General features: G+C 46.9%; 1 protein-coding gene across 37 annotated transcripts in view, besides 3 other annotated features; it reads right to left on the bottom strand.

Moving 5' to 3' along the window:
- Positions 1-14,457, bottom strand: part of ATP7B (ATPase copper transporting beta) — a 79,464-nt gene extending 65,007 nt beyond the window's left edge. For 23 of the 37 annotated variants that reach the window (NM_001243182.2, NM_001406548.1, NM_001406524.1 and 20 more), the window contains exon 1: positions 13,612-13,775. In NM_001243182.2, coding sequence (NP_001230111.1) covers positions 13,612-13,662 — 51 coding nt within the window. In that variant the 5' untranslated portion in view covers positions 13,663-13,775. The other 14 variants (NM_001406541.1, NM_001406531.1, NM_001406527.1 and 11 more) reach the window with 6 other exon arrangements.
- Positions 13,982-14,321: a silencer, noted in NCBI's record as "silent region_5378". NCBI's record gives its function as "represses an Ori minimal core promoter by ATAC-STARR-seq in GM12878 lymphoblastoid cells {active_cell/tissue: GM12878}" and the evidence as "EXISTENCE:reporter gene assay evidence [ECO:0000049][PMID:35858748]".
- Positions 14,372-14,481: a silencer, noted in NCBI's record as "silent region_5379". NCBI's record gives its function as "represses an Ori minimal core promoter by ATAC-STARR-seq in GM12878 lymphoblastoid cells {active_cell/tissue: GM12878}" and the evidence as "EXISTENCE:reporter gene assay evidence [ECO:0000049][PMID:35858748]".
- Positions 14,492-14,591: a silencer, noted in NCBI's record as "silent region_5380". NCBI's record gives its function as "represses an Ori minimal core promoter by ATAC-STARR-seq in GM12878 lymphoblastoid cells {active_cell/tissue: GM12878}" and the evidence as "EXISTENCE:reporter gene assay evidence [ECO:0000049][PMID:35858748]".

A 14,654-nucleotide genomic window follows, 5' to 3' on the forward strand; every position in this document is an offset into this window, starting at 1 on the left:
GAAACAAGAATGAAGACCCAGGAGAGGAGGGATTACAAGGGGCAGAAAATTTAATAGTAGAATACGATTAAACAAACGAGGAGGCCTCCCAACTCAGTGACTGCTGGATCACAGCAGGTGACAAAAAGTGGGGGCCTGAGGATGACAATGCCATTTCCAGTTTCGCAGATTGAGCACATGGTGATGAGTACACCAAGATGAGCGGGGAGGGTGGGAAGAAGGCAAGTCTGGGGTAAACACAGTGGCTTCTCCTTTGCTCCCATAGAATCTAAGAGACGTGTGGAACAGCCAAGGCATGGGCCACCTTCCTAGGCTACAGTATTAAGTCCAAACTCCTCTTTCTAGCACCTTCCCCTTTCCTCACACCTGACCCTGGCTTCCCTGCTCCTCCCCTTCCCGGCACCATCTAATCCTTCTTATCCTTTAAGTCCTGCCTCTCTGTGGAATCCTGCTAGCAGCTCTCTCCCTTATCTGAATTCCAGCATCACTAATGTCAACATCAGGGTGCCAGCAGGTGGTCAGCCTGTAACACTGCTGGAGGACAAGTCTTCTCTGTCCACCGAGGCTGCAGTCAGCTCAGTCCACACTTGTTACTGATGCCTATGGGCATGTGCTCACTTTGGGAAACGTGGTCAGATCCTGGAACACAAGGATCTCATATCTTAGCTGCCCACAGACCTAACATGGTGATGAACAATATCAGACATTAAATAAGTATATTTAAGCAGTTAAATATTTACATATTTACATTTGAATAAGTATATTTAACCATATTTAAATAAATGAGTTCAATTATATACTGCTCAGAATGTGCTTTCTACCTAGAATTTCATGGTACTTTTTGTCCCCCTTACCACAACACAAGGGCAAACTCTATCAGTCCCTCACATATTTCTTCTAGGTCTTCAAGGATTTCCTTGCACTAGATTATTCTGTCTTCCATATGTACAAATTTCACGAGCCATTTTCCAGAAGAAAATTCATCTTCTTTACCTCCTATTCGCCTTCCCAGTCTGTGGATTTTTCCTGTATAAAAATAAATATCTCTTTGGTGTCCTAAACAATCTTGTTGCAACCTGAGAAGCCTGGGCCCAAAGGCAGATGGGCAGCTCATGTTTCCATGAACCTCCAGGACAAAGGGCTCTTTGGAGGAGGGACATCTGGTTAAAATATTTCAGCACTCACAAACATTACCTGCTCAGTCCAGCTAGAGGCTCACACTGGGCAGGGCTTCCCAGACGAAATCCCCAGGCCATCCCTCCCAAGATGGGGAGAGGAGTCCCGGATCCTGTGACAGGACAGGAGGGCAGAGCCTGACATTAAAGCTGCATATGTTGGGTTCCCAAGAAGAGAACATGAGCACTGCAAACAGCACAGCCACCAACAGTCAGGGCTCTAGCAGCCCAGCCTTCAGAACAGAGGGGAGTGTTAACCAAAGCAGATTATTCACAGCCTGAGAGCCGTATTTAAGTGTATGCACAACAGAAGACCAGGAGAGGAGCACAAGACACATACTGCCCTTGGAAGTTTACTGGCAAGTTAGGAGAGAAGAACAGTAGCAAAGAGCAGTATTCAAAGTCTGAATTCCTCAAACACTAGGTGCTGGGAGCGGGGGAGGGAAGGACTGGTGGGCTTTAACAGAGGCTTGGCTTCTCCTCCCCATATCGCTGCTGATCTCCAAGACTGAAACAACTAGCTCAGCAGGACTTTCATATCAGCTTATTAACAGGAGACAGGCACAAACACACACATACCTAAGTAAGCTCACTGAAGGAGTGCTCTTAAATAAACTGCACTTGGCTGAACAGTCTTGAGTGAAAAACGATTATGATAGTTCTAAATTACGAAGAGATGGGATGGCCAAAAAGAGAAACAATGGGATTATCGAAAAGTAAAAGCCAATGTTTCCATTTCACAGTTCATTCCATGCACCTTCGACTTCGCTGGCTGCCCTCATCATCTGGCACCTTCCTGCAAAACTCCAACACGGCTTTACTCTCAGTTCCACTTGGCTTCACGCCTGTCCTCTAGCAGCTCAACAAGAATGTGACAGAACGCACATCCAGGCTGGCTGCCCACACTCTGATTCAGCACCACGAACTGCGGGAGGACCCGTGCTGCCACCTGGCAGTCCAACTACCCCCTAGTCCGCTCACCCTTCGCTCTCCGAGACAGTGGTCCTATCCCCTCTCTGGCTCCTCAGGTCCCCAGTGCCCACCCCCATACTTACTCTCAGCCAGTGACACACTGCCCAAGGTGACCAGTCCTTGTCTCCAAGCTCAGCCTCCAAGTTGCCCCACCTCCTGATTTTCCTCCTATCCTTCCCACCAACAGCTCCTACTCAGAGTCTTTCACCAGAGCCTCCAAGTCCCCAAACCTCCAAGTGCTGCAGTGGCCCCCAGCTCAGCCCTTGGACCTCTTCCATCTCTACTCATTCCTTGTACACTCATCCAGGCCAGGAGAAGTATACCTTTCTTAGCTCACTCAGGCTGCTATCACAAAATACCTTAGACTGGGTAATTTATAAGCAACAAAAATTTATTGCTCACAGTTCAGGAACCTGGGAAGTCCCAGATCAAGGAGCCAGCAGATTCAGTATCCGGTGAAGGCTGTTCTTTGCTTCACAGATGGTGCCTTGCTGCTGCATCCTCAAATGGCAGAAGAGCAAAGTGGCTCCCTCAAGCCTCTTTTATAAGGGCACTAATCCCATTCGAGAAGGCAGAGCCCTCATGGCCAAATCACCTCCTAAAGTCCTCACCTCCTAATACCACCACCTTGGGGGTTAGGTTCCAACATATGAATTTGGCAGGGACATTAACATTCAGACTATATCACCACCTATAGCCTACAATTCCCAACTCTATACTTACAGACCCAAATGCCTCATCACCATCTCCTCGGTGTTTCATATGCATCGCAAACTTAACTTGTCTACAACAGAGCTCTCAACATTCTGCCCTTCCCCTGCTGCTCCCACAGTCTTCCCCACCTTAGTAAATACAACTCCTTCCCTCCACTTGCCCAGGAAAAAATCCTGGATCCCTCTTTGATAAGAATAATCTCATCCAGGTGCAGGGGCTCATGCCTGTAATCCCAGCACTTTGGAAGGCCAAGGCAGGAGGACCACTTGAGCCCAGATGTTTCAGAACAGCTTGGGCAACATAGTGAGACACCATCTCTTCAAAAAATAAAAAATTAGCTGGGCATGGTGGTGCACACTTGTAGTCCCAGCTACTCAGAAGGCTGAGGTGGGAGGATCACTTGAGCCCAGGAGGTGGAGGTTGCAGCGATCTGTGATTGGACCACTGCACTCTACCCTGGGTGACAGTGTGAGATTCTGTCTCAAAAATAATAATTAAAATGAATTTAAAATTAAAAAGTAAAAAAGAATCATCTTCTTTCAAACCCACATGTAAATGTTTAGCAAATCCTGTTAGTTCCACCAACAAAATGCATCCAGCATCTAATGACTTCAACACATCCACAAGAACCCTGGTCCAAGCCACCAGCTCATCTCACCTGCACTATTGCTTAGAATCTCCTAAGCGACCTCCTGGCTTCTGCTCTTAGCCCCTAAAGTCTATTCTCAACACAAAAGTCAGAATACCTATAAGAGGAAGTCACAAGATGTCATTCCTCTAAAATGCCTCTAGGGGGTTCCCATGTGCTTAATAAAACCTAAAATCCTTACAATGATGACCTGTAAGACTATACAGTTGCAGCCCTCCCATTACCTTCCAACTTATCCTCACACTCCTGGCCCCTTACTCATTCTGAAACAGTCATTCTGATCTTGCTGTTCCTTAGGTAAGCAAAGCATACACCTGCCTCCGGAACTGTCTACTAGCTTAGAAATACCTCCCTCCAACATCCCATATCCAAAGGGCTCACTTCCTCACCTCCATGAAATCTTTGCTCAAACGTCAACTTCTCAATGATTTCCCCCAAATGATCCCATCTAAATTTCATACACTCCCAATTCCCTATCATCCTTCCCTGTCTTATTTTTCTTGAGAATTCTCAATCACCACCAAATGCAATAATACATCTTTTACTTACTCTTTTTAACAACTATCTCCCCAGTTAGGATATAAGTTTCACAAGTGCAGGAATCCTTCACATTTTTTTTTTTAAGGACAGGGTTTCACTCTGTCACCCAAGCTGGAGTGCAGTGGCATGATCTTGGCTCACTGCAGCCTCCGCCTCCCTGGCTCAAGTGATCCTCCCATCTCAGCCTCCCAAGTACCTGGGGCTACAGGTGCGTGCCACGATGCCCAGCTTGCTTATTTATTTATTTATTTAGTAGAGACAGGGGTTTCACTATGTTATCCAGGCTGGCCTCGAACTCCTGAGCTCAAGCAATCCGCCTACTTTGGCCTCCCAAAGTGCTGGGATTAGAGGTCTGAACCACCACACACAGCCTCTTCACATCTATTTTGTTCAGTCACTGCTTTATTCCAAGGTCTAAAACAGTGCTTGACACTTAAAGAATTTCTCAATAAGCATTTGTTAAATGAATGACAAAGAATGCCAAGCAAAAACAACTTACAAATGTGCTTGCTGTAAAAGGACTGCTAAACTTTCCGACAATACTCAACATTCAGGGCCAGGCGTGGGGGCTAACACCTGTAATCCTAGCACTTTGAGAGGCTGAAATGGGAGGATCACTTGAGCCCAGGAGTTTAAAACCAGCTTGGGCAACATGGTGAAACCGTGTCTCTAAAAAAAAAAATGTTTTTAATTATCTGGGCATGGTGGCACATGCCTGCAGTCCCAACTACTCGAGAAGCTGAGGTGATAGGATCACCTGAGCCCGAGGAGATCCAGGCTGCAGTGAGCCTGCCACTGCATTCCAACCTGAGCAACAGAGAACCTGTGAAACAAGAGGGGCAGGGAGGCGAGGGGAGAGGGGAGGGGAGGGGAGGGGAAGGGAGCAAGCCTCATGCAAAAGCTGGCTCCCTCCTCCCTCACTTACTCATTCATTTATCCCTTCAAGCCAGGGATCTAAGCTCAAATACAGGCATCTCTCAGAGATATCCATGGGTTTGGTTCTAGATCATCACAATAAAGCAAATATCCTAATAACGTGAGTGACACAAAGGTTTTGGTTTCCTTGTGCATATAAAAGTTATGTTTACACTATAGTCTATCAAGTGTGCAATAGCATTATGCCTAAAAAAATACATATACTTTAATTTTAAAATATGTTATGGCAAAAAAATGCTAACAATCATCTGAGCTGTCAGTAAGTCATGGTCTTTCTGCTAGTGGAAGGCCTTGCTTCAATGCTGAGGACCTTGCTCTGGACTAGGCTTTGGCTTAAGAGAATGTTGTGTCTGGTTTGATCTTATGTTCAAATCACTAAAACTTTCTCCATATCAGCAGTAAGGCTGTTTTGCTTTCTTATCATTTATCTGTTCACTAGAGTAGTACTTACTTTCCTTCAAGGACTTTACCTTTGCATTAAAAACTTTGCTAACTGTTTGGCACCAGAGGCCTAGGTTTCAGCCTATCTCAGCTTTTGACAAGCCTTCCTCACTAAGCTTAATCATTTCTAGCTTTTGATTTAAAGGGAGTGGACTCTTTCACTTGAACACTTAGAATCCATTGTAGGGTTATTAATTGGCCTAATTTTAATATTGTTGTGTCTTAGGAAATAGGGAGACCTGAGAGGGAGGGAGAGACAGAGACATGAACTGCTGGAGTCAGTGGAGCAGTCAGAATGTACACATTTATAGATTAACTTTGCCATCTTACACGGGCCCCAAGATGATTATAACAGTAGCATCAAAGAGCACTGATCACAGATCACCGTAACAGATATAATAATAATGAAAAATCTGAAATATTGTGAGAATTACCAAAATGTGGCATGAAGTGAGTATATGCTGTTACACAAATGGCGTCAGTAGACTTGCTCAGTGCAGGGTTGCCACAAACCTTCAACTGGTAAAAAAAAAAAATACAGCATCTGCAAAAGGGCAATAAAGCAAAGGTTTGCCTGTACTGTCACAAGTAGGCAGTGACTTAAATGAGCAGAACAGGCCATGCGGGGCTTGCGGCCACAGGAGGAGCTCATGCCCCACCTGGAGCAGGCAGCTGTTCCTCAGCTCCAGCCAACTGTTGTCAAAAGGCCTGGTGTCACCAGAGCTTCCGAGAGAAGGTGGATAGCTGGAGTTTTACATAGTAAAATCTTCCCATTTTAAGATGTTGAAAACTGGCCAAAGTTCTAGCCAATGGAATATAAGGCAAAGTTGTTTGTCAGGGCTCCTAAGCAGGCTCCCTAAAAGACAGCAGGACTGGCCGGGCGCGGTGGCTCACACCTGTAATCCAGCACTTTGGGAGGCCGAGGGGGGCGGATTACCTGAGGTCAGGAGTTCAAGACCAGCCTGGCCAACATGGTGAAACCCCGTCTCTACTAAAAAAAATTACAAAAATTAGCCGGGCATGGTGGCACATGCCTGTAAACCCAGCTACTCGGGAGGCTGAGGCAGAAGAGTTTCCTTAGCCCGGCAGAGGGAGGTTGCAGTGAGCCAAAATCGTGCCACTGCACTCCAGCCTGGCTGACAGAGCAAGACTCTGTCTCAAAAAAAAAGAGAGAGCAGGATTATCCTTGCCTTTCCCTTATTTCAGCTATGTGCAACTTGAAATACACGGCTGCAGCACCAACAACTGTTTTAGGCCATGAGGTATCAGGAAGATGGAGTTGCATCCTAACTTGTGTTAACAAATCATTAATCAGGAAGCAATTAGGCTGAGATGACTCCAACATTTCAGGTTCCTATGTAAGCAAACCAAACCCAACTCAATATAAACAGTAAAACAAAGCTTAGCTTAACCAATCACAATCCATTAACTATCTCTAACTAGAGACTTCATCAATCAGGAACCACCAACTAAACTCTAACTAGGGTCTTTTTTATTCCTTATTTTTATTTTTTTCTCCAATCTCATGACAGCTTATAACTAGGCCTTTCTACTTTAACCAATCAATTATTCTCTTTGTTTTGCTTCCCTGAACACTTACAAAGTCTTTCCCTCATTCCCCCTAGATGGAGCCCTGAACTATGTAGTCTGGCACTGCCCAATTCATGACTGATGGTACTGCCCTAGTGGGGGCACTCTGTGGTGGCTCTTCCCCATAGACGTTTTCTGCCTGGGCCCCGGGTTCTCCAAGACATCCTCGGAAATCTAGATGAAAGTAGCCACACTCCACAGCTCTTGAACTCTGCTCAGCTGCAGTTAGCACCACATGGACACCAAGGTTTATAGCCTGCACCTTCCAGAGCAGCAGCCCAAGCCACACCTGAGCCGCACCTGGGGTGGCCAAGGAGCACCGCAGAATGCAGGAAGCAGAGGCTCGAGGTGGCCCTGGGCAACTAGACCCATAGACCTGCTGGCGGGGTATGGTCCTCTCCCTCCTGCCCTCATGGTCCAGGCACTCTGGGCCTGTGACAGGAGGAGCAGTCCCAAAGACCTCCCAAATCCCTTTAAGGTCATTCTTCCCAGCAGCCTTTTTATTCTTTATGATCTAGCCAGGCTGAAAATTTTCCAAATCTTTCTAAGTTCTGCTTCCCTTTTGATTATAATTTCTGTCTTTAATTTGTTTTCTTCTTGCATTTTCTTATAAGCAATCAAGAGAAGCCATGCAGCACCCTGCACACTCTGCTTAGATATTTCTTCCACCAAATATCCTAGTTCATCACTCTTCATCTAGTTCATCATCTATCCTCCACAAAGCATTAGGGCACAGACACAACTGACCCACGTTCTCTGCCATTTTATAAATAAAAACAGAATGGGCTTTTCTCTAGTTCCCAATAAAATATTCCTCATTTCTGTCTAAGACCTCATCAAAATGACCTTTGCTGTCCATACTTCCACCAACATTCTGATCATGACCACTTAAGTAATCTCTAAGAAGATTCAGGTTCTGTCTACAGCTCTGTTCTTCTAAGCCCTCACCAAAATAATCCTTAATGCTTAGTTTATCACTATCTAGGCTTTTTCCAGCATGTACCTCCAAACTCTTCCAGCCTCTACCCTTTACCCAGTTCCAAAGCCAACTCTGCATTTTCAGGGATCTGTTATACCAACACTCCACTTCTTGGTACCAATTTCTATCTTAGTCCCTTTGTGCCTCTGTTGGGAACAGGCCCCCCAAAATCTAGCCATAAACTGGCCCCAAAACTGACCATAAACAAAATCTCTGCAGCACTGTGAAATGTTCATGATGGCCGTAACGCCCACGCTGGAAGGTTGTGGGTTTACTGGAATGAAGGCAAGGAACACCTGGCCCGCCCAGGGCAGAAAACTGCTTAAAGGTGTCCTTAAACCACAAACAGCATGAGCGATCTGTGCCTTAAGGGCATGTTCCTGCTGCAGATAACTAGCCAGACCCACCCCTTTATTTCGGCCCATCCCTTCCTTTCCCATAAGGGATACTTTTAGTTAATGAATATCTATAGAAACAATGCTAATGACTGGCTTGCTGTTAATAAATTCGTGGGTAAATCTTTGTTCGGGGCTCTCAGCACTGAACACGGATACTTCCTCGATATCTATGCTATGGCATCAGTGAGCAGTGTTCATGTTACTGGGCCATCTCCATCCCTCCCATTGAGAAGAAAATGTGTGTCACGTAAAGAAGCACTTAAATCCATCTCTGTCACTTGCTTAGTTTATTACCCTGCTCCGTAGGTACCAACTGCACTCTGTTGCTGCTAAAACGACCACTGGCCTCTAATACTCAGGACAGTTGAGTTTGGATAGCCTAGTTTCTCTACTGAGAAGACAATTCCATAAAGAATAAGGGTAGAAGACCCAACTTACAGTTCTTTTTCAGGCTTTTCAGCCACCTTTGGTCTGGATGGGGACGATCATTTCCAACAGTCTCTAGCTGGTCTCCCGCAGCTCCCTGCCCAGTTCACCCTCTGCCTTGCAGGAGTGACTTACGCTGTTTTCCTGTAGGGTAAAGTCCAAACTCCTAGCCTGATAAACAGGGTCTTCCACAGACCTTCCAGCCTTCCACTCTTCCAGCCTTGCCACGCCCCTCACAGTCCCCTAAATGCCTCTTTCCATTTCCAGTCCTCTGGACCTTTATACATGCTGGTCTCTGCCTTCAATGCCCTTCTCTCCATGCTCCTGTGTGCCCAATCAATGCCTGCTCTTCCTGAAAGACCCACTCGAGCACCACCTCCCACTGAAGGAATTTTTCTGCCCCTTCTGTGGGTGCTGTACCATGTAGACAGCTCTGTCCCAGCATGCATCCAGCACAGGGGCTGACCTCTCTTCATCTATGCATCCCCCTGCTTGGCCCAGTACCAGGCAAACAGAAAGTGCTCCATAATGTTTGTGGACTGAAGGCTGAATGACCAGGTCACTGCTGCCCCACAGAGAGGCCTCTGAAGAGAAAACAATGTGGAGAAATCATGTCGAGAATCCATTCATTCAAGAACAACTGTGGTGCACCTACATGTGGGAAATAGTTTTTTAAACGGTAAAAACCCGGTTCCCATTTCAAGAAGCACAGAGTTGCAAATAAAAGCTATATTCATTAAATAATCATACCAGGTGGTATGACCAAGTGTCAAGTAAGTTTTGACAATAAAAAATCGCTGAGAAAGTCAGGCAGGCCTGGCTAGGACTCAATCCTAGATCTGCCTCTTATAAGCAAGGTACATCGGGCAAGTTACTTAACTTGTGTCTGGCTCAGTTTCCCCATCTGTAAAGCAATGATGAACTCTGATCTCCTGTTCTATCACTCCCACTCCTTCCCTCTGCCACAGCCACTCTGGCTTTCCTATTGTTCCCCAAACTCTAACATCATGTCTTCTGTACTGTTTCCACTCACGACACTTCTGACACCAAATGTGTGGGGTTTTTCTTCACACCAACCAATGCTCTCTCTCCAGACACTAACTGGGTGCCCTACAATTCAATTCAATTCCGACACCAACCATCTGGAGTTAGCACGGACCCCACAGGTAAGGGCTCAGGCCCACAAGACCACAAGAATGCCCACACTTCACATGCCAGTCGCTGGGTCTGGGCCATCTGTACTCCTGACCAACTGTAAAGTCAGGAGGTTCCTACAATTACCTCCTCAGGTTGGGTAATTTGCTAGAACAGCTCGCAGAACTTAGGAAAGCACTTTATTTAATATCACCAGTTTATTATACAAAATACAGCTAAGAAACCACCACATGGAAAAGATAGGGCAAAATATGGGAATGGAGGTTTCCAGGAGCTTCCATATCCTTTCCAGGAACCACCTTCCCAGCACCTTGATGTGTTCACTAACAGGAAGCTCTCCAAAACCCATCATTTAGGGTTTTTAAGAAAGCTCTATTTGTGATCCACTGCATTGGTTAAAAAAAAAAAGGCCAGGCACAGTGGCCTCACGCCTGTAATTCCAACACTTTGGGAGGCCGAGGTGGGCGGATCACGAGATCAAGAGATAGAGATGACCCTGACCAACATGGTGAAACCCCGTCTCCACTAAAAATACAAAAATTAGCTGGGTGTGGTGGCGTGCGCCTGTAATCCCAGCTACTCAGGAGGCTGAGGCCGGAGAATCACTTGAGCCCGGGAGGCACAGGTTGCAGTGAACCGAGATCCCGCCACTGCACTCCAGCCTAGCAACAGAGTGAGACTACCTCTCAAAAAACTAAATAAATAAAAATTTAAAGAAAGCTCTATTCTGCCGGCATCACTGATTAGATCATTGTCCACTGGTGATTGGCACAATCTCCAGAGGTTGGAGCACGGGGCTGAACATTCGAATCCCCTAATCACATGGTTGGTTCTTCTGGCAATCAGTCTCCATCCTGAAGCTATCTAGGGGCCTATCAAGAGCCCTCTCATTAACAGAAACTCAGGTAGGGGTGAAAGAGACTTGTTATGAATAACAAAAGATGCTCTTATCACCATCTCTCAGGAAATTACAACGGTTTAAGAAGCTCTATGTCAGGAACTTGGGACAAGACCAAGTATATATTTCTTCTTATCACATGACTGCCGTAGGACTCTCACACTTTATGGTTTCTCAACCTAGGCTACTTCTCTGAAATCTGAATCATTCAGGTCTCTACTCAAATCCTACCTTCCAAGAGAAATCATTCCCTGACCACCTACTTAAAACAGCATCTTCCTCTCCACCCATGTCAATCCCTATCTTATTCCCTTATTCTGCTTTCTTTTCTTTTCTTTTTTTTTGAGACAGGATCTTGCTTTATCACTCAGGCTGAAGTGCAGTGGTGGGATCACAACTCACTGTAGCCTCAAACTCCTGGGCTCAAGCCATCCTCCTGCCTCAGCCTCCCGAGTAGCTGGTTCGACAGGCACACACCATTATGCCCAGCTAATTTTTCTTTTTTTTTTGTATAAACGATGTCTTGATATGCTGCCAGGCTGGTCTTGAACTCCTGGACCCAAACTGCTTTATTTTCTTCATAGTACTTACTAGTACCTGAAATAAAGCTATTGAAGGAAACTAAAACATTTCACCTCAAAACAGACTTATTGGAAATATTTTGAGATGGCCGTTCAGAGGGCCTACAGACAAAAGTAGTCCTACTGTGAGGGAGATGAGCATCTGTTGAGAACCTCCATTGACGCAGCCAGTTTTTCTCAGAGGGCCCTTCCTTGTCTGGATCTGGGTGAGATTAGCTGAATTTGGCACCTTCAAGGTCTGAAACATTTCTTCTCCCTGAGGGCTGCTACCTGTGAGGTTTCATCTACATAAGACCACCTTTGCTAGCCAGGTCTCCTCTTCTCTCCCTCCTATAACCTGATTTACAACCATAACCTGTTTTTGGCCAAGCTTAGAGCCCCCACACTTTCTGTAACCTCAGGATAGTATAATTGTGGCAACCACCTTGCCTTCCTTTGAGATCTTATGTTGTAAGACTCTCACGGCACGTTAGTAAATGTGTATGCCTTCTCTCCTATTAATCTGCCATTTGTCAGTTGATTTTTCAGTGACGCTTCACGGGGCACAAAAGTTTTCCCTTAACTCCTACGCTATACATTTGTTTATCCCTTTTTTTTTCCTATCTCCAACTAGGATGTAAATTCATGAGGGCAAGGTCTCGGTCCTACCTAAATCCCCAGTGTCTAAAACTTTGAGTACTATGTGTTTGAGCACATAGTACACACAAAAAAATTTGTTGAATAAATGTTGATAACAAGATATAATACCTACATCAAAGGGTTTTTGTGAGGATTAAACGCGAGAGTGCACATAGAGGGATATGAGTGCCTAACACAATGCCCAGCACACAGTAAGCTCAATAACGCTGGTCAACGCTATTATCAGAGGATTCCAGAAGACAGGTCAACATGGGCAGGAGCAGTTACAGAACGTTTCAAGGAGGTGGCAGGTCTTGAGCTTGATTTGGAAGGATAATGATTTCTTTCTCTAGGTGGGGACACTGTAGGAAGTTGAAATCTCCTCTGTACAAGCCACCCCTCCCAACATTTCTTCATACTCCTATCAAATGCATAGTCATCATACCCTACAAACCACCTACTAACCAGCCTCTCTCTGTCTGTCCACTAATCCGTTAGTTTTCATTTCTGTATCACCGGAGCCTAGATGAATTCACTACTAAAGGGCACCCAGCAACGTCAGTGAATTAGTTTCAGAAATCTGTGGAAAAGAAACAGCCTACTGTTCTGTCCAGCAATCCAGGCCTAAGTATCTATCCTAAAGAAATAGTGTCAGCATTAAAAATCATGTACAAAGATGTTCACTTGCAAGAGAGAGAGAAAAAAAGTAGCAAACAGAACGTCCACCACTAGGAAACCATGAATAAACTATGATGCGTCCAAACTGTGCAGAGGTTGCACTGAATTAGACAGTTAGTGAAACAATCTCTAAGATATATCGTTAAACTGAAAAAAGAGAATGCACATACAGTGATCTCATTTAGGTAAAACAAAAATTTTAACACCTCATACAAATGAAACCTAAAGATTTCTCTGAATGTGTGCATATTACATATAGATACATGTCTTGTTAACCACTGTATCAACTCAACACTGTGTGCCTGAAACATAGAAAGTTCTCAATAAATATTTGCCGAATGAAGACATATGTACGTGAATAGAAAAAGACTGAAAAATAGATCTGCTTTTTGTGCAAAATATTTCTGTGCTGTTTCCATTTTTAAAAGACTGTCTTAATGTATTACTTGTACAATTAAAATGAATTTAAAACAGTTATAAAAGTTCCAGGACCTCGATATACCATATCTGGTCCAAGCACCAGGCTCTGAGTAACTTCTCCAGGTAACTAACTTCATCGTTTTGAGCCATTAGGGCTCTAGCACAGCAACTCGACGCTCACTTTATCTCTCCAGCATCAGACCCCTTAAAAGCATAAAGATGAATTTTGAGGTGCGGGGTTTTCCATTGCTCCCAAACATCAGTTGACGGCACACTTTTTCTAAAGGGTCCTTTTCTCCCACGCCAAGACATCCCTGGAGCTGGGGTCTGGCTCGGCCTTCCCTGCGCACCCCCTGGGGGCGAGTAAGCGCCGAACGCGGGGAGGAAAATCCTCCTGGTGGGAGTGAGCACGCTGCGCGGACGCGGGGGAACAAAACTCACTTTCCGACTGGCCCCTTCTCTGGCTGTGATCTGTCTCTCCTGCTCAGGCATCGTCCCGCACGGACACCGAATTCTTCTCTGATCTGGCTCAGAGCAAAAGGTCACCTGGTCGGTGGAGGAGAGCGGGGTGTTAAAGTCCCGGGAGAGGAGGCGCAGAGTGTGAGGGCATCGGCGCGGCTCGGCTCTAAAGCAAACAGGGGTCCGGGAACCGCCCCTTCATTTGGGACCGGGGAAGCCGCAGCCCTCTTCACACGGATGATTCAAAGTTGCGCGCCGCCGTCCTCCCGACCTGGGGGCACGGGGATGAGAGCGTGAGGGGAGAGTGGGCCTCGGACCCTCGCCCACTCCCCAGGTGGCTGGGAGTGCCCACCCTGGAACTGCCGGCCCCGCCGGTGCCACAGTGTTCTCTGCCGTGCCAGTGCCACAATGTCCTCTGCCGTGCCGGCGCCGCAGGGCGGAGGCCTGTCCTCCTCCGCGGTCTCGGCCACCTCGCGCTGGTGCGCTCCGACACTGTACTGGGATCTCACGCGTGTGCGGGAGCGGGAGGGCAGGTGAGCTGCGCAGAGCCGGGCCGCAGACTCAGCTCCCAGGGCTCACCCACCGCCTGCGGGGAAGGTGCCCGGCGGCGCCGCGTCGGGTCCGCTCTGCGCTGCCCCCTCCTCGGACTCTGCGCCTGGCTGCCGGACGCCGTGGGTCCCAAAGGAAGCAACCGCGGCAAGAGTGAACTCCGCACCTGGAAAATCGATCCGCTGTGCGCAAAGGCCAGCCAATGGCCTCCAACGGGCGGCGGGCTTTGGGCCGGGAACGGGGGCGCAGGCGCCCAGGCGGGGGCTTCTAGTGGGGGAGGTGGCCGAGGGAGGGAGCGACGGCTGTCAATCACAGGCCACGCCCTCCTCAGCCCAACCCCCCACTGCTGTCCCGCCCACGGGGGCGGGAGCCGTGTGCGCCACGCCGAACACTAGTCTACGCCTCGGCATATTCTATTGGCTGGAAGGCCGTGGGAAGCGGCTACCAGTAACCAATAGTAACGCACAATTGGCCCG

Source organism: Homo sapiens, chromosome 13, assembly GCF_000001405.40.
Source record: "Homo sapiens chromosome 13, GRCh38.p14 Primary Assembly".
NCBI lineage: Eukaryota > Metazoa > Chordata > Mammalia > Primates > Hominidae > Homo > Homo sapiens.